This window comes from Homo sapiens, chromosome 13, assembly GCF_000001405.40.
Source record: "Homo sapiens chromosome 13, GRCh38.p14 Primary Assembly".
Lineage (NCBI taxonomy): Eukaryota > Metazoa > Chordata > Mammalia > Primates > Hominidae > Homo > Homo sapiens.
This window is the reverse complement of record NC_000013.11, coordinates 41516909-41537721: the sequence shown is the minus strand read 5'-3', so window position 1 is coordinate 41537721 and position 20813 is coordinate 41516909. Positions and strand designations below refer to the sequence as shown.

At 41.9% G+C, this 20813-nt stretch overlaps 1 long non-coding RNA gene across 1 annotated transcript in view, besides 1 other annotated feature; it reads right to left on the bottom strand.

The window, feature by feature from the left end:
• LOC105370174 (uncharacterized) overlaps positions 1-20554 on the bottom strand; it is a 46924-nt gene extending 26370 nt beyond the window's left edge. The window contains exon 1 of the long non-coding RNA XR_941901.2: positions 20431-20554. This is a non-coding gene — a long non-coding RNA (uncharacterized LOC105370174). The remainder of the gene's footprint in view (positions 1-20430) is intronic.
• Positions 16549-16718: an enhancer, noted in NCBI's record as "experimental_32874 CRE fragment used in MPRA reporter constructs". NCBI's record gives its function as "activates a minimal promoter by MPRAs in K562 erythroleukemia cells, with activity observed for both the introgressed and non-introgressed 13:42095225 variant alleles {active_cell/tissue: K562}" and the evidence as "EXISTENCE:reporter gene assay evidence [ECO:0000049][PMID:34662402]".
• Positions 20555-20813: the final 259 nt, after the last annotated feature.

Genomic DNA, 20813 nt, shown 5'->3' with positions numbered 1-20813 from the left:
TCAAAAAATTAATGAATCCAGGAGCTGGTTTTTTGAAAAGATCAACAAAATTGATAGACCTCTAGCAAGACTAATGAAGAAAAGAGAGAAGAATCAAATAAATGCAATAAAAAAATGATAAAGGGGATACACCACCGATCCCACAGAAATACAAACTACCATCAGAGAATACTATAAACACCTCTACGCAAATAAACTAGAAAATCTAGAAGAAATGGATAAATTCCTTGACACATACATCCTCCCAAGACTAAACCAGGAAGAAGTTGAATCTCTGAATAGACCAATAACAGGCTCTGAAATTGAGGCAATAATCAATAGCTTACCCACCAAAAAAAGTCCAGGACCAGATGGATTCACAGCCGAATTCTACCAGAGGTACAAGGAGGAGCTGGTACCATTCCTTCTGAAACTATTCCAATCAATAGAAAAAGAGGGAATCCTCCCTAACTCATTTTATGAGGCCAGCATCATCCTGATACCAAAGCCTGGCAGAGACACAACAAAAACAGAGAATTTTAGACCAATATCCTTGAGGAACATCAATGCAAAAATCCTCAATAAAATACTGGCAAACTGAATCCAGCAGCACATCAAAAAGCTTATCCACCATGATCAAGTGAGCTTCATCCCTGGGATGCAAGGCTGGTTCAACATACGCAAATCAATAAATGTAATCCAGCATATAAACAGAACCAAAGACAAAAGCCACATGATTATCTCAATAGATGCAGAAAAGGCCTTTGACAAAATTCAACAACCCTTCATGCTAAAAACTCTCAATAAATTAGGTATTGATGGGACGTATCTCAAAATAATAAGAGCTATCTATGACAAACCTACAGCCAATATCATACTGAATGGGCAAAAACTGGAAGCATTCCCTTTGAAAACTGGCACAAAACAGGGATGCCCTCTCTCACCACTCCTATTCAACATAGTGTTGGAAGTTCCGGCCAGAGCAATTAGGCAGGAGAAGGAAATAAAGGGTATTCAATTAGGAAAAGAGGAAGTCAAATTGTCCCTGTTTGCAGACGACATGATTGTATATCTAGAAAACCCCATTGTCTCAGCCCAAAATCTCCTTAAGCTGATAAGCAACTTCAGCAAAGTCTCAGGATACAAAATCAATGTACAAAAATCACAAGCATTCTTATACACCAACAACAGACAGAGAGCCAAATCATGAGTGAACTCCCATTCACAATTGCTTCAAAGAGAATAAAATACCTAGGAATCCACCTTACAAGGGATGTGAAGGACCTCTTCAAGGAGAACTACAAACCACTGCTCAATGAAATAAAAAAGGATACAAACAAATGGAAGAACATTCCATGCTCATGGGTAGGAAGAATCAATATCGTGAAAATGGCCATACTACCCAAGGTAATTTATAGATTCAATGCCATCCCCATCAAGCTACCAATGACTTTCTTCACGGAATTGGAAAAAACTACTTCAAAGTCCCTATGGAACCAAAAAAGAGCCTGCATCGCCAAGTCAATCCTAAGCCGAAAGAACAAAGCTGGAGGCATCACGCTACCTGACTTCAAACTATACTACAAGGCTACAGTAACCAAAACAGCATAGTACTGGTACCAAAACAGAGATATAGACCAATGGAACAGAACAGAGCCCTCAGAAATAATGCCGCATATCTACAACTATCTGATCTTTGACAAACCTGACAAAAACAAGAAATGGGGAAAGGATTCCCTATTTAATAAATGGTGGTGGGAAAACTGGCTAGCCATAGATGTAGAAAGCTGAAACTGGATCCCTTCCTTACACCTTATACAAAAATTAATTCAAGATGGATTAAAGACTTAAATGTTAGACCTAAAACCATAAAAACCTTAGAATAAAACCTAGGCAATACCATTCAGGACATAGGCATGGGCAAGGACTTCATGTCTAAAACACCAAAAGCAATGGCAACAAAAGCCAAAATTGACAAATGGGATCTAACTAAACTAAAGAGCTTCTGCACAGCAAAAGAAACTACCATCAGAGTGAACAGGCAACCTACAGAATGGGAGAAAATTTTTGCAGTCTACTCATCTGACAAAGGGCTAATATCCAGAATCTACGATGAACTCAAACAAATTTACAAGAAAAAAACAAACAACCCCATCAAAAAGTGGGCAAAGGATATGAACAGACACTTCTCAGAAGAAGACATTTATGCAGCCAAAAAACACATGAAAAAATGCTCATCATCACTGATCATCAGAGAAATGCAAATCAAAACCGCAATGAGATATCATCTCACACCAGTTAGAAGGGCGATCATTAAAAAGTCAGGAAACAACAGGTGCTAGAGAGGATGTGGAGAAATAGGAACGCTTTTACACTGTTGGTGGGACTGTAAACTAGTTCAACCATTGTGGAAGTCAGTGTGGCGATTCCTCAGGGATCTAGAACTAGAAATACCATTTGACCCAGCCATCCCATTACTGGGTATATATCCAAAGGATTATAAATCATGCTGCTATAAAGACACATGCACACGTATGTTTATTGCAGCACTATTCACAATAGCAAAGACTTGGAACCAACCCAAATGTCCAACAACGATACACTGGATTAAGAAAATGTGGCACATATACACCATGGAATACTATGCAGCCATAAAAAATGATGAGTTCATGTCCTTTGTAGGGACATGGATGAAACTGGAAACCATCATTCTCAGCAAACTATCGCAAGGACAAAAAACCAAACACTGCATGTTCTCACTCATAGGTGGGAACTGAACAATGAGAACACATGGACACAGGAAGGGTAACATCACACACCGGGGCCTGTTGTGGGGTGGGGGGAGGGGGGAGGGATAGCATTAGGAGATATACCTAATGTAAATGACGAGTTAATGGGTGCAGCACACCAACATGGCACATGTATACATATGTAACAAACCTGCACGTTGTGCACATGTACCCTAAAACTTAAACTATAATAATAATAAAATTAAAAAAAAGAAAAGAAAATTCACAGATGACAGAAAATTCATGATTTATAAAGGAACAATCATTTCCTCATAGCCAGACTGTGAAACAAACACAAAACAAAAAGGAACAATCATAAGGAAAAAATGTTTTCTTCTCAGGCACTCAACCAATGGCACTTAAAAGTAGGATATCAGTCAGGCACGGTGGCTCACACCTGTAATCCCAGCACATGAGGAGACCGAAACAGGCAGATCATGAGGTCAGGAGTTAGAGACCAGCCGGGCCAACATGGTGAAACCCGTCTCTCCTAAGAATACAAAAATTAGCCTAGTGTGGTGATGGGCACCTGTAATCCCAGCTACTCGGGAGGCTGAGGCAGGAGAATTGCTTGAACCCAGGAGGCGGAGGTTGCAGTGAGCCGAGATCACGCCACTGCACTGCAGCCTGGGTGATAGAGCAAGACTTTGTGTCGAAAAAAAGCGGAATGTCATTTTTTATGTCTTGTAGTTCCAGTAATACGAGAGTGTAGTGAGATGAGCCCCTCACACTCCGTTGCCAGAAGAATAAATATCGGAATAATATTCATCCTCCATCAGTTATATCTAGTTTGCTCTTTCACGTTTGATGTTGTTTATAGCATTGGGCCACTGCATTCTGAGGATTTAGACATCTTCTCCAAAGGAAATTGAGCCCCCTCCCTGAAGCTGCAACAAGAGCATCCTGAGCTCCAGCCTGAGCAGGGCTGAGAGTGTTTGTATGGGTTTGAGATAGAAGGATCTTCCAGAACAAGCCTTTCCTGTGTTCCGCCAACCATTGGCAAGAGAGCTCTGTCCCGTGGGGTGTGGATAACGTGCATATCAGAAGCATCCTCGCCTGATTCCAAGTCTTCTGGTAGCTCCGTTTTGCCAGACAGGCAGGGCGTTTTCTTGGAAACTTGTAAGTGTCACATTTTGTGTAAACAGGGAGTTCCACTAGAGTCTTTCATCATCACAACACATAAAAGATACATTAAGAAATTCCTGAAATTGCAGCCTTAAGACAGAGGACCCAGCTCTATGCCACAGGCTCACACATTCTTCGGGTGGTCGATTGCATCTTACATTTTAAAATCTCTCAGCAGTGATGATAGAGTAGGTAAAGAAAGTACCTTGGAAAATCCTACAAAACCATCAGGTGTTTTGGTCTACAAGAAGGAGTAGGGAAGTAAGAAACACTATTGTGAGGGTTCAGGGCCCCACGATGGGCAGCACAGCTCACTTCTGTTCAAAGTAGTTTCATTTTACCTGCTCCCGGATACACAGAAACCTCACTACAAGATTCCAAAGGAGCAGACTGGGGAGGATTATCACCTTCCAAACCCAGAGCTGACCTCCCTCTCACTGCGGCTTCAGCAATTCTTTCTGCAGGTGGGACATCGGCTAAAGGGCCTCTATTCCCACAGAACCCAGCCAAACGTAGGTGGGCAAGAGGAACACGGTAGGACCAGAGGCTCCTGAAAATTGCCGGTGGCTGCATCTTTTGGGAGAAACCATTTGCAATATGAATTGAAAGTCTCTGCTCTCTCAGAGCTTTTAAGATTTTTTCTACATGTCATTGTCATTATAAAATTGTAAGAGGATATATTTAGATTTGAATCTTTTTTTTTTCATTGTTCATGCTCAACACTCAACAGACTCTTTTATTCTAAAGATGTATTGGCTTTCTTCAGTTTGGGAATATTTTTTCTATTATTTTTTAGGTAAGAGACTGGGAGTGGTGGCTCATGCCTGTCATCCCAGCACTTTGGGAGGCTGAAGTGGGAGGATCAGTTGAGGGCAACAGTTCCAGACCAGCTTGGTCAACACAGTGAGACCCCATCTCTATAAAAAAAATTTTTAAAGATTAGTGTCAAATTATGACAATAATTAACAGTAAAAATAAATTCCTTTACATTAGGTAAATGACGAGTTAATGGGTGCAGCACACCAACATGGCACATGCATACATATGTAACAAACCTACACATTGTGCACACATACCCTAGAACTTAAAGTATAATAAAAAAATAAATTCCTTAAATAATAATTTTTAAAGCCCTTTACATGTAAAGCTAAAGCCCACCATTCCCAATCCCTCTCCATGCCCAACCTTACCTAAAGGAACCACTATTATGAGTTTGAAATATAAATGCACAGTGTACGCACGCACACACACACAAACACATTTAAGAGATATATATATTACTTTGAAGAGTTTTCATCCTTTCTTTTCTTTCGTCCTTCTTTCCTTCTTCTTTTTTTTAGGAATGGGTTCTTGCCATGTTGTCCAGGATGGACTCAAACTCCTGGGTTCAAGAGATCCTCCTGCCTCAGCCTCAGAATAGCTAGGACTTCAGGTGCCACCTCACCCAGCTTTTTGTGGGGTGGGAAGGGAGGGCTTTTTCTGTCTTTTAAGGACTTCCCTACCCCAAAGTCAAAACGACATATTTCTTCTATGTTTCTTTAAAATATTTTGTGGTTTTGTTTTGGACATTTAGGCCTTTAAACAAGTGGGAATTTACATTCGTGCATAATGCAAGGTGGGGATTCAACACCTTTTTCTTCTCTATGAATAACCAATTAGACCAACTGTGCTTACTGACCCATCTATCCCCACATACTGGAGTGCCATTTTGTCACACACCAAATGCCCATGTGTATATTGGTCTGTTCCATGGTCTGAGTGTTGATGTCCCCCAGAATTCATACATTGAAACATAATCCCCAATGTCATGGTATTAGAAGGCACGGTGCTTGGGAGGTGACTAGGCCGTGAGAGTGGAGCCCTTAAGAATGGAATAAGTGCCCTTATAAAAGGGACTCCAGAGAGCTCCCTTTTCTCTTCTGCCATGTGAGGACACAGTGAGAAGGCACCATCTATGAATCAGGGAATGTGAGCCCTCAGCCAGCACTGAACCTGCTGACGCCTCAGTCTTGGACTTCCTGGCCTCTAGAACTGTGAGAAACAATTCTTATAAACAGTTCTTCTAAACTGTTATTTATATGCCACCCAGGCTATGGTATTTTGTTATAGCAGCCCAAACAGACTAACACAGTCTAGTTCTTGAGTTTATTCTGTCCTACTAATCTACTTGCCTATTCTATAGCAATGTCACAATTTCCATTTCTATAACTTTAAAATATATCCTATTAGGTTGAGAAAAAAGCCCCTCTTCTGATTCTTTTGGCTATTTCTTTTTTAAAAGATGGGTAATACATGCCTAGAGTACAAAATTCACAAAGCATGGTATAAAGTCACCCTCTTTCTTTCACTGCTGTTCCCCAGCTATACAGTTTTCCTCCCCAGAGGAAATCTCTTCCATTTTTTTCCAGGAATATCCTAGGCATATATCAGCATACAATTATGGAAGTATTCAGTATGTATTTTGTAAATCCTTCCTATCAGTATATATAAAACTGTCTCATTCTTCTACATTCCACTGTATGAAAACCATGTTATTTATCCAGCCTCCCATTGCAGACAGTAAGCTTGCTTCTGAGATTTTACTTTTCAAAATAATGTTTCAGGAAGTATGCATGCATATACATTCTACACATGTGAACATATCTGTCCAATAAATCCTTAGACGTGTGACTATAGTCAAAGAGCACTGACACGTGTTTTTAATTCTGATAACAATGCTAGAGGTTCCATCTGTTTATATTCTTATCTTAGATATGTTGACATACTTCCCTGCACATCCCCGCCAACACAACATGCTATCAAACTTTTGGGTTTGATACCAGATAGATGAAAAATGGCATCTCATTGTCCATATTTGCATTTACTTTATTATGAGTGGGTCAGTCATCTTCTCATATGTTTAAGAACCATTCGTACTTCCTTTTCTTGTTCTTTGCTCTTTTTCTTTGATGGTGGTTCTTTTTCTTATTGACTTGAGAGAGCACATTGTTATATTAAATAACTTAATTTCTGTGGCAAATATTGTCCCCATCGTTTCCCCATCAAAACATCATTTCTCTTTTGACTCTGTTTATAGTGGGATTTTTGTCTGATTGCCATGCAGAATTATTTTATTTGTATTATTAAATTTGTTAATCTTTTCTATGGCTTCTGAGTTTTGTGCAACACTTAAAAAGACCTCTCTTAGTTATTTTTAAATTGTCTTAAATTTTATGCTTTCCTAATTTCATTTTATAAAGTTAAATCTTGGATCCAATTGCCATTTGTTCATATAAGAAGTGAAGCAGGGGTCCAGTTTTCTGTCTTGATCAGCTTGGGCTGCTGTAACAGAATACCATAGAGTGAGTGGCTTAAACAATAACCATTTATTTCTCACGGGGCTGGAGTCTGGGCAGGCCAAGACCAAGGTGCCCGCAGATTCTATGTCTGGAAAAGGTCCTCTTTCTGGCTTGCAGATTACCATCTTCTTACTGTATTCTCACAGGGAGAAAAGAGCAAAGGGAGAGAGGGGGAGGAAGCAGACTCTCTCCTGTCTCTTCTTATAAGGACACTAACTCCATCTGTGAGGGCCCTACCCTCATGACCTAATCACCTCCCAAGGGTCTCACCTCTAATTGCACATTGGGGGATTAAGATTTCAACATGTGAATTTGGGGAGGACAGACGCAAACATTCAGTCCATAGCACTTTCCCAGATGGCTCTCTGGAGTATAAACATTATTTTTAACAGCCTACCTTCCTTCATTAATATGCAATGCTATCTTATCATATATTTGTATATGTGTTTGTGTCTATTTCTGGAGTCTCCATTCTGATCCATTGATTTGTAGGTTTCTTCATACCCAGTACAATATTGCTTCAATTGCTGTGGCTTTAAAGATGGGTTTCAGTTCTGGTAGAGCTATTCCCTAAGGCCCCACCCCACTCCCCAGCCCCATCAGGTGGCTCCATCTTTTTCAGAAAACTCCTGGCTGTGTTTGCATGTCTACTTTTCTGTAGACTTTTAGTCACAAACATTTCTTATTGATATATTTTATTAGGGTTTTATTAGATTTATGGATTCACTTATGGAGAATTGCCATCTTCATGATATTTAATCATCCCTAGACAGAAATAGACTATGTATTTACATGTTTTCCAAGCCTTTTTTTTGGTTTACCTCAGCATTTTAAAGTCCTCTTCATTTAGATCTTGTGTGTCTTGTCATTTACTCTTGAGTATTTTGTCACTGTGTCATAAACAGGATATTTTCTTCCATTATAACTGGTTACTATTCGTATATAGAAAGGCAAGTTATTTTGCATATTGATTTTGTATTCACCAACTTTATGAATTTCCTTTGTCATTAGAAATTACTCTTCAGCTTATTTTCTTGGGTTTTCCAGATATAAAATCATATAACAATAATTATAAATGTCTCTCTCTCTTTACAGTTTATTCTTTTGTCTACATGCATGATTTGATACTTCCAGAATAACATAAAACAATAGAAACTTCCTCCTATTTCTGACTGTAAGAAAATTTCTCATTTTCTCCTACTTTGAGCATAATGGCAACTTTGAAATACGTATATTTCTTTTATTTACCATGTTTAAAATTATTTACCTATTCCTAGTTTATAAAACATTTTTGGTCAAATATGTATATTAGATTTTGCCAAATGCCTTATCAGCAACTATGAAGGTAATCGTGAAAATCTATGCTCATCATTTTCTAATATTGAAATATCCTTCCATTGTTGGCATAAAGTCCTCCTGACCATAGTGATTTATTTTTCCAACATATTGTTGGACCCCATTAGCTAATAATTGAAACTTTGCACCAATATTAATAAGTAAAATTACAATTTTATCTCTTTTTTTGCTCCTTTTATGATATTTTAGCATCAGTGTTTTTGTTGAATTGGATGTGTTTTCTTCTTTTTCTATGGACACTGCATATATCTTCCTTCAAAGTTTTGATAGAATTCTGCTGTGAAGCCATCTTTGGTCAGGTGTCTTGTTGGGGTGGAGGGGGTATGGTGGGAAGGTGAGAGGTTGGGAGTAGAAAGGACAGAAACAAGAAATATGTTGTTTTCTCCCCACTCAAAAGAGGTTGGCAACTACAGGGGTTCTTATCATTCAGTCCCTGTCTTCCATCTGCCTCATCCTCAGAATGTCTCCTGCAGAGATAGTTTACCTAAGATTCTGTCTTTCAGCACAGCCTCTCCTAGAGGAAATAGGTCTAGGGAAGTTATTGCCCTTGGTCCTGGTACCCTGTTCTCATGGTTTCAATGCAGGGTAGGTTCTTGGCTTCACCCAGGGAGGAATTCAAGAGCTACCCGGTGGTATAGGGCAGTTTTATCAAGGCAAGCAGGGTTACAGCTCCATGAGTGCTCCTTCAGAGCAGGGAGGCAGTGTGCTGAGAGTAGCAGCCAGGGCAGCAGTTAGACCCACTTTCATAATATGCTAATTAAGGGGCAGGCTATTCAGAATTAGCTAGAAAATGGGTGGTAAGTTCCAAGTGTTGACAGTGGCAAGGGGTGGTAATTTCTGGGTGTCGCCATGGCGATGGTAAACTGGCATGGCACTGGTGGGTGTGTCTTAAAGACCCATGCTTTTGGCACCTTTTCCCAGCTTTGTCCAGTCTTCAACCTGGGTCGGGGTCCTGCCTCCCTCCTACCTCAGTTTCAGGTAAGTTCTTGCTGGTTTGGGACCCAGTGAACCTCTCACTTTGCAGAAGCACTCTCTGCTGAATGGAGCAGATTGCTGCAGCCACAGCATCTTCAGCATCCTCACTCCACATTGTTGACCTTCTCTTCACTGGGCAGCCCTTCCTCAAATGTGGTGCTGGGCCTCAGATGTTTCCTAGTTTAATCAAAGATTGAGTTTACATTTCTGTTTCTTATTCTCCTTGTTGTCTGGGGGCTCATACTGAGAAGAAAGTTTCAACAGAACCTCTACTCTGACATCTGAGAACTGGAAACTAGCCTCCCTTTGACTTCAAATATTCTTATACACTCTCTTTTCCTTAGGAAGTCAAGGGTCTGTTTTACAAATAGCATGAAAAAATTCTGTTGGTGTCAGGATATATATTGGATCTCCTATGGGTATAGAAAGTTCTAAATCTGTCAAACAGATCCCTCAACTATATATTTTATTTTTCCTTTTGCCTCTCCTTCTGGGAAACCTCTTTTACTCAAACTTGAGAGAGCTTTAAAAACTGATGTTGTCTGGACCCACCCCCAGAAAGTCTGATTAATTTATATAGTATGCAACCTAGACACTGGGAGCTTTAAAATCTCCCCAGGTGATTCCAATATGCAACAAAATTTGAAAAGCACTCCTCCAGCCCACTAATTCAATCTTCAGCTCTGTCCATTTAGCTCATTAACGTTTTTAACAAAATTGAATTCCAGAAGAGAACTTGCTTACAAATTAGTTGAGGGTCTGAGGGAAAGGGAGGACTCAGGGATGACACCCAGGTCTCTGGCTTGAGCCACTGGGTGGATGATGATGACTTCCCAGGATGGGAAAGACTAAGGTCAGGAGGGAGATTAGTTTGGGGTGGGAAATCAAGAGTTCTGCTCTGGACAGGTTAGGTTTGAATTGTCCGTGAGACAGCCAAGAGAAGACGAAAATGCAATCTCAGCACCTAATAAGTACAGTACAAAGTTACTAACCATTAAAGGAGAAAGTCATGAGCCCATACTGATAATCAATAGATGAGAAAGTACATGGGTAGGGAAAAGGAAGGTCTTACTTCCAGCACAATCCAGAGGGTTGACAGGTCAGTGTTGGGGGAGTGATGGTTGGAGTCGGAAAAGCACCATGTTCCAACCATCCTAGTAAAGGTTGGGTCAGGGACAAATCATCAGTAGATGCTAAATTTAGAGGTAAATTTTGATGAGGAACAGGATATTTGTCTGGTCTTAAAGTGTCTCCCCACAGACCATATGTTATTTACAAGGAAGAGAGAGGGAAGAACCAGTGATTATACAGGGGAGAAATCAAACAGCACTTTGACAAGGTGATCAAAATTACCATCGCCAATGAGGCATGGGCGGATGCTGTGTGCCTCCAGCTGTGATGGCCTGAGAAGCACACACCTAACCAAGTCCTATTCCAGCAGGGCACAAACAACCTGAACCTAATCTTGAGAAAACATCAGGCAAAACCAAAATGAAGTCCTATTTTAAATTTTTTTTAAATGAGAGGGAACTGTATTTTTCAAAAATGTTAATGTACAGTGTAATATACAGTAAAAACATTAGTAAGGGTATTTTTGTGTTATGAAGGTACTGAAAGTAAGCAGCTCTAAGATAGTCAAGTTGATGGGTATAGATTCCAACAGCACAGGTTTGAATCCTAGCTCTGAACTTTACTAATTGTGATGTCAGGCAAGTTTCTTACTCTCTGTATGTTTCAGTTTCCCTGCATGTACAATGAGAATAATAATAGTTCTGACCTCATGGGGTGGGGGCAGGGACTATAAGGATTCAATAAAATTGTGCTCAGTTTTTTAAAAGATGTCAATGTCATAAATGACAAAGAAAGGCTGTGGAAGTGCTCCAGATTAGAGGCCAAAGAGACATCACAATTAAATGCAATATCTGACTCTAGTCTAGATCCTGTACTATAGTTTTTTAAATAAGCCATAAAGGATATTTTTGGGTTAACTGACAAAAATTGCAATGTGAATGGTAGACAAGATAAAGCATGGCTCAGAAACCACCGCTGAAGAATGCATCCATGTAACCAAACACCACCTGTTCCCCGAACACCTACGGAAATAAAAAATTAAAATTATAAAAATTTAAAATTAAAAAAATTAAAAGTTCAACCAAAAAAAGATAAAGCATGGTAGCAATGTTAAATTTTCGGAAGTTGATAACTGCACTGTGGTTAGGTAAGAGAAAACCTTTTATCCCTAAGAAAACTGAAGTGTTTAGAAGTAAAGGGCTATGCCTTCAAATGGTTCCAGGAAAAAAAATACACACATACACACACACACATATGCATAACATTACATATTATATATGTGTGTGTTATAGATATACATACACATAGAGGAACACACAGTAAGAAAAAAATAAGGCAAATGGAGTGAATGTTAATTTTGGGTAAATCTGGGTAAAGCGTATGCAGGTGTTTTTTGTGCTATTTTTATTTTTGTAAGCTTTGTATAAGTTTGAAAAAAAAAATATTTTAAAAAAGGTTGTTGTTGTTTTTGTTTTTGTTTTCTGAGACAGTGTTTTACTATGTTGCCCAGGCTGGTCTTGAACTCCTGGGCTTAATCAGTCCTCCTGCCTTGGCCTCCTGAGTAGCTGGGACCACAGACATGGGCCACTACATCCAGCTCAAAAGTTTTGTTGTTGTTTTGCTTTTAATGCAGTTGAGTATACAAGTCTAGAGCTCCAAGGAGAGAACTAGACTAGAGACAGAACTGCAGGAGCCATCGAGACATAGTGTTGAAAGCTGTGAGAATGGAGGAGCTCATCAAGAATATTGAAGATGATGAAAAAGGGGCCAGGACCAGGGAACAGGGATGTTCAGAGATCAGCCAGAGAGAGCAAAGCCAGCCAAGAAGACAGCAGGAGCCACCACTGAGGTGGAAGGAAACCAGAGGGCTGAGGTGTCATGGAAATGAAGAAAAGACAAGGTTTCGAGAAGTGGAAAACTATCACAAATATTGCTAACAGGTTGCCTAAGATACTGACAGTGATATGACCTCCGGATGCTGGACTTAGCAAGGGGGAGGTCATGAGACACTTTCATAAGAACGGTTTCAATGGAATCATGGTAGAAAAAGCCAGATTGTAGTGGTTCCCAGAGTCAACACAGGGCGAAGAAGTACAAATCTGAATAACCCACAAGAAATATGGCGATGAAAGGAAATGAGAAACAGAGTCCACTTTCTATACCACTCCAGTACCATCCTCAATCCATCCTTCAGTAACTTCCTCAATTCTGGGGTCTGATGTTCTTCCAGCAGTTATGACTTTTTTTTTTTTTTTTTTTTTTTAATAAAACAAGGTCTTGCTCTGTTGACCAGGTTTGTCTCAAATTTCTAGGCTGAAGTACTCCTCACACCTTAGCTTCCTGAGTGGCTGGGACCACAGAAATGTGCCACCATGCCTGGTAAATTATGGATTTATTGTTGTTATTATTTAATTTATAAAGAAAAGAGGTTTAATTGACTCAGTTCCGCATGGCTGGGCAGACCTCAGGAAACCTACAATCATGGCAGAAGGCATCTCTTCACAGGGCAGCAGGAGAGAGAATGAGTGCCTTATTATTTTTTTAACAGCTTGTCTGTAATTTCTGTGGCATCCTGGGCGGAAGGAGAAGTAAACAAGTGTCTTCAGTCTACATCTTGAACCACAAATCTACATGACTTTATGTCCACTATTGTCATTTAATCCTCACCACAATCTTTTGTTTTCAGTTAAATCAAAAAGTGACATTCTTTTTGTATCAAGCCTTCTTAAACATTGAAATGCATTCATTTTTATGCTCATGTTCTTTGGAATATTATTTCTTCCATTTTGCCCCTCATTTCCTAAATTGTTTTAATGGGTTCATCTCTAACATGAAGATTGTTTTATTTTCTTAATGCTACCTACCTTTTATCATCCCAATATTAAGGCCAACCTAGATTTTTTTTTTTGTCTTTTACGTGTGAAATGGATGTCAAAAATGGAGAATTCACCAGCGCATTTTAAGATAACATGAAAGCAAGCATTTCAAAGCAATAACATGCCATTACATTTTTGAAAAATAAGTATCATTGGTACTTAAAAGCAGTACTGAATTCCAGAAGCATATTCTTATATTGGATATTATTCATAATGGCAAATAAAGTTCATTTCCACAGTAATGATTTCCAATAAGCAGTTTTCTTTTTTTTTTTTTTTGAGGGTTCATTTTGACTGTTTCAGACTTAAATCTTGAATATCAGTGACTCAATCTTTAACATAACAATCAACAGTAGACTTGAAAATTGAATTGTTTCAAAAGGCAATGATAGCAAGAAAAAGCTCTTGGCATTTGAAGAGAAGTACATATACATAGAAAGAAAGTCAATCAAAATACTTAACTTTATACATGTTAGAAATATCCAGTATGCCACCAACACAATCGCCCTGAAAGAAAAAAAAAAAAAAAAAGCCCTCACCACAATCTTCTGGTGAAAACGTTATCATCCGTGTCTGAAAGCTGAGAAGCCTGAGGTCGGGAAGGGTCCAGTGGCCAACACACAGCTAATCACTGATAGCTTTAGGTTTCACACTCACATTTGTTTGCTTTCAATGCTCACACCCTTTCATCCCACCATCCTAGACAGATTATGGAACACAATGTGCTAAATGGGATGGGTAAGCAATAGAAATGTAAGGTTAAAAAAAAACTATGCCTCATACTCTTGAGTAATTTTATTATCTCCTATTTTTTCGATTTCTCTTACTTTGGTAAAGTTTCTCTTGAATACTTCAGCTTTGTTCAGCTATACTCAGAAAACAAGAAACTGGATTTATCTTGGAAAGATTATGGAGTCAAACAAACCTGGGTTTGAGTCCCAGCTCTAGTGGGGCCCTGAGAAAGACCCTGGTATTTCCACCTGTAAAGTGGAGTTAAGGTTACTCTGGGCATTAGTGCTAATATGTGGAAAGCCCTTGGCATTTGGGAGATACTCTTCAAATCAAGACCTTCCCCACAAAACATCTTCCTGATTAACATCCCCATTGCAGGATGCCACTTGGTTTTTAATATCCAAATTTCAGGGAACATACGTATCTCTCTCAATGCCATTTTTTGGCCAGAATTTATCTAAGGTAAATGTAAATTTATATCCCTAAAACATAACACCCTACATTTTAAACAAATATATCTATAAAGTCTTGAGAAACATTACAATTACACTTAACAGAATGCCAGAACTGCATGTAGAAGGTTGTATAAAGCATGGTGAACCTCAGCAAAGGGGATGAGGTTTTCCCAAGTTGTTGGCACTGACAGGCATCACGGTGTCACTTCTTACAAAGTAGGCCTTAACAACTATAGTGTTTTAAGCTATGTTTTAAGTATTTTACATCCCCTTTTTTTTTTTTTTTTTGACAGAGTCTCACTCTATCGCCCAGGCTGGAGTGCAGTGGCTCAATCTTGGCTCACTGCAACCTCTGTCTCCTGGGTTCAAGCGATTCTCCTGCCTCAGCCTCCCAAGTAGCTGGGAGACAGGCGTGCACCACCACGCCTGGCTAATTTTTGTATTTTTGGTAGTGATGGGATTTCACCATGTTGGCCAGGCTGGTCTCGAACTCCTGACCTCAAGTGACCTGCCTGCCTCAACCTCCCAAAGTGCTGGAATTATAGGCATGAGCTAAGCTGCCCAGCCTAGTATTTTACATCCTAATGTGGTAGTTTATTACCTATATAGATGTTTCAACACATCTAATCACATTTGGGAAGTTGATTGGTGGATGTGTGCCTTATAACCTTTTCCATTTATAATAACAGGAAACTATACTAACAGGAACATCAGATCCCAATGCACAGCAAGTATTATTAACTATAGAGTTAATAATACAAAACACCAGTATTATTAACTCTATAGTTAATAATACTGTAATTCTTTACTTGAAATTTGCTGAGTAGACCTTAAATGTTTTCACCACACACACACACACACACACACACACACACACACACAGAGTAACTAAGGTGATGAATGAGTTAACTGATTTGATTGTGGCTATCATTTCACAATGTATATGTACATCAAATCATCACATTGTACACCCTGAATTTTATTGTATAGATTCAATTTTTTATATTGAATCTATAATCTAAACAATTATACTTCGATAAAGCTGAAAAAATAAAACTTAAATGCAGGAATTGTTTACTGGTTGGCATTTTTACACAGAACATCTGATATTCAGGAACAGATGACTGAGCTTAAGTGTCCACCACCCTCAGCAGAGGTGAGGCTGGTACACTAGCATCAAAAGAAGGCCATTTCCAAGGAGGAGCAGAGTCAGATGCCCTGTAGTCAGTTCCTATAACCTAATGCCTTGTAGGGGACAACTGTCATCTGTTTAGTCACCAAAAACCTGTATTGCCTTCTATGTTTGTGCCCCCACAGTGAGACCCACCCATCACTATAGAAATCAAAAGTGCCAGACACTGGCTTCTCCAGCCCCTGTGGCAGGTAGACAAGGTAAGTGGCGTGGCTCTGTCCCTTACAAGAAGCAGCAGGTCTCCCTGCACAACTTGTGTTCTGGTGATGGGCAGTGATGATCTTGGTGGCAGAACATCCAGTTTCTAGGTACAGGGGCTCTGTTCCAGCCAGCACCCAGGGTTGGGGCGTTGACAGTGGGCCCTGTAGCAAAGCAAATATGTCTTTCCCAGATGGGTTCAGTGGCAGAAGTTAGGGTGCTCTACCTGGCTGTGCGACTTCCAATCCACGTGCCCCAGGGCTCAAGGGACACTATGAGCTGCCCACTGTTGTTAATAAAATGTCTCTGCTTCACCAGCCAGGGGCAGTTGCTTTTGCTTGCAGCTATAAACCCTGACTGATAAAAGGATCTTGCATTTTCTTGGCTAACGAGGGGATTCCTTTATGCCATCTTACCCCCAATGTCTGCTTCTCTTGGCTATATCAAGTACCCAGTAGCCCTGGCCAATGGCCAGTGTGGGCAGAATGGCCTCCCAGTAGTCACACTCTGAACCCTGATACCTTTCAGATCTCAAGAAATTGGCCACCTTTCTAGCTAGTAACTGGAACATCCCCATGAGGATGTGCGTGCCTGCTCCCCACTGTATCCTGGCTCCGTAGAAAACCATCTCTGCCTCACCACCACCCCGCTTCCCCAGGGACTGCTTGGAGCCTGTGGGCTGCCTTGCTGCTGAGTATGGGAAAGGAGACAAAGAGCTTAGGAGGAGCACATGCTGAGAAGTTCCCCAAAGCCATCTAGGAGAGGCTTGTCTCTCGTTAACACTGGTTTGCAATTCTCTGCCCCAAATCGGACCAATCTGTCATCGCCCTGGGCTGACACAGGATGAATCAGACCCCGCAGATCTGGGGACTCCTCGATGGGCCCCCCAGCCACCCTTGGCACAGACACCCAAAACCGCTGAGCAGACAAGCCCAGGAGGGATTTCTAACCACGACCCTGACAAATGCCCAAACCCAATGCCAAGAGCCTCCTCCTCCATCCCCTGGGCCTCCAGATTGTGGGTCTTTTCCTTCACGTATGGCTATGTCTGAGAAGCCTGGTGCCTTCCCAGAAGCCTCCCTATGCTAATTACACATGTGGTCTGCTGAGGAGACTCATGCTGACTTTGGAGGTCAGAGGCAGCAAGAGCTACACAGCAATAGACTGCTTCACCTACTCCTGTGAGCACTGGGTTCTCAGATCCGCCATCTTTTCCAAGGAGCCCTCTAGTCCGGCGTCTTATCCCATGGATGTAACACAACTTCCTTCAGGTAAGTACATAGGTTTTGTAATCTCCCTAGGAAAAGTGAGGCCAAGCGAGGGCAAGAGGGACTCCCAATGTGGCAGAAGAATTCACATGAAGCCAGATTGTGCCAACTCAGGGCTGCTGGTGCCAGTGCTGGTGACACGTCCACATTGGCCGTTGATGTCATCATCCACACTGCTTACTCTTTAGAGGACAAAGGCCCCCATTTCCTCCTTTCAGTTCTTCCTCTTTCAACCCATTAAACAAAGCATTCTTTGGAAGTTTACAGTTCTCTAAGGACTCATCAAGGGGAAGAGTGAGAAGTTATCATCCCTAGAATCTAGACAACAAAAGGATGTCTTAGCTCTGCTTTCTAAGGAGTGGCTTACTCTCCAAACAAGATTTGTGTTGCTCTGTTTATCATCTCTTGCATCACGGATTGGCTTCTCCTGATGGGGCTGGCCTGCTCCAAAGCTAGGACGTCTTCCCACCCATGGGAACAGATGGCAGGGGTGATGGGGTGGGAGCAAGTTGGAGCCATCATGAGGTGCTCTGATGCCTCAGAGGCCAGAACAACACATCCTAGGCCAGGCTGTGGGAGATGGTCACCCAAAGCCAACTCAGTCCACTATCTCCACCACAACCCTTTCTGGAGTTGGGGATGATGATGAAAGCCCCAAGAATGCTCTGTCCTCATTGTTTTTGACACCAAAAATTTCTCTTCAATGTCCCATACACAAGCTGTAATGTTGGAGAGCTGCAGGGCTTTAGAGCCTGGCCCCAACCCCTCCTTCTACAGTCAAGGTGACCCTACTTCACATCCAATGCAAAGGCAGAACGCGGAAGGTCACACAGAGATGCGGTCTGTGGTGTGCAGAATGCATCCAGGTTCCATATATGGGCCTCTTTGGCCCAGCCTGAAGCCCAGCATGTGGCATAAAGGAGAAAAGTGGCTGGAAAGCTCCCAAAAGCTGACCCTGCAACTCTGAATTCTACCCACACAAATCTAGCCAATGTCCAGAATGGAGGAGAGACAGATCAGTGGCCTATTGGTTTTCAAGTCCAACTCTGATCCTCATATGCCCTGATAGATGCACCCAGATCTAGTCAGAGTTGCAGGGACTCTGATGTTGAGGAGGATCCCCAAAGCAGTGAGTACATAAGGACACACTGAACTTCACTGAAACCATCTGGTAGACCTCTGACATCTTTTTCAGCTTCGCTGCTATTGAGAAAACACAAGGCCACTATTTCTCTCCACTTTGAAGTAGCTACAGTTCATTCTGTATCCACAGTCTCTCTCTCTCTCTCTCTCCCCCCCTTTCCCCAGGCTCTCCTCTCCCACGAGGAATAGACACTAGGCCCAAGCAGAGCCTCCATAGTTGATTGGTGGGAAACACTAGGTGGGCTGTCAGGCTGGGGTCCATGCAAGTGGTGCCATGGAGAGGAAGCCACAGGAACCACCAGCCTCCAAAGAACCAGGAGAGGGACACATGGATCACTTTGGGTGAGGGAGGCTGTTAGGCTGAATAATTCCCTCCCTCAGATATCCATACCCTAATCCCTAGAACCTGTGAATATGCTGCCTTACACGGTAAAGGGGACTTTGCAGATGGGATTGTGTTACGGATCTTGAGATAAGAAGATGATCCTAGATGATCTAGGTGAGCCCAGTGGAATCACAAGGGTCCTTACAAGAGGGGAAAAGAATGGTGGGGGGCTCTAGAAGCTGGAATAGACAAGAAACAGGATTCTCCAGAAGACTTCAGAAGGAACGTGGCCTTGCCAACACCTTGATTTTAAACTTCTGACCTCCAGAATGGTAAAAGAATAAATTTGCATTGGTTTAAACCACTAAATTATTGGCAGATTAACAGGGAACTAATCCAGAGATCTCAGGCATGAATTCACAGGACCAAGAGGGAGAACTGGGACAGCCTCATGGGGTGCAGTCCCTCAGGTCACAGATCTGGTAGTGGGTGATTCCATGATCTCAAGTTACAAGAAAAGCCTACATCAACTGGCTTACACACAACAAGAAGTCCAAAGGCAGCAGGCTCCAAGCTTGGTTTTTTTGGGTGACTCAGTGACATGGAGAGGACCTTGGTTCTTCCCATCATTCCCTTCTGCTCATCTCACTGCTCTCTCAGTCACAAGATGGCTACCAACGTTCCAGGTGTCACATCTGGGCATACCATTGCCAAGACTCAGGAAAAGGAGCCATTTCATCTTTGTGTCGCTTGTTGAGAGTGAGGAAACCTTTCTCAGAACACCTATCCCTCTCTCCTGCCCCCTACACACTAGGGGACTTCCCCTCACATCTGGCTTGTTGGCCAGAATTATACACATGTCCATGCTTAAAGCAACTACTGGCAGGCAGTATCAGAGCTCTTTGATGAGTTTGCACACCAACTGGCACTTGCCCCTCAAAGCCAGCCTTCCTGAAGCATTTGGCTGTTGGGCAAAGGGTAGAGACCAGAACTAAATCAGGGCTGTGCTGGCAAAGAAGGGGATAAATCCATGGTGGGTAGGTGCGAAATTGTCTGCTCCACTGGTGCATGGAGTGGGCTTCAGAGAGACCCAGGAGTGTCTCTTCCTGGTACTGCAGATAGTCCCGGAGCTTACACAGCCTGCCCTTCATGTAGGGAGAGCTAGGATTGACTGGCTTGTTTCCATCACCATGGGGCACCTCTGAGCAGCAGTCTTGCCAAGCCACCCTGGTGCCTGAGTGCCCCCTCACCTGGCCCATTGCCTTGACCCACATTGTGACGCCTGATGGAACCATCTGGGTCTCAGGTAGCAGGGCTGGGTTCTGCTAACATGCTAAGGTACTGACACTAACAAACCCCACCTGCACCTGTGATTGAGATGGCGAACAATTGGGGCTACTTTCCTCAGAAAGCAGCTGTAGACATGGCAGGCCCCTCAAGCTTCATGGATTTCTCCACCAGCCCATTTAGTTACCCACCAGATGCAGAGTCTGCTCTCTCAGCCAGTTGGCCTGTAGCCTCCTCAGCCTGCTCATGACTGGTGATGGTGTCCCGAACTCCCTCTCCATCTGGCCACAATGCGGGCTTCTCCCTGCAGCCACCACTCACCTCATAGAAGGCATCACGGTGTCTGTCCTGGTGCAGAGGATTCCTGTGCTCACCTCACCGTCCCCCTCACCTTGCTCTCCAGGCCTCAGACACGAAGTACGAGAGGAGGAAGCTAAAACAACAACAACCAAACAGACTGAGGGTAAAAGGAATACGGAAGGAAAAAGAAAAGCAAGCTAACTGCAATGTGATATCCTGGATTTGTTCCTGGAACAGAAAAAGGACAGAGTGGAAAAACTGAATAAAGCACACTCTGAATAAAGTCTGTGGAGAGTTAACCATACTGGGCCAGTGTTAATTTCTTAGCTTTGACAAATGCGCTCTGGTTGTGTGAGACGTTAACATTAGGGGGAGCTGGATGAAGGTACAGAGAACTCTCTGGG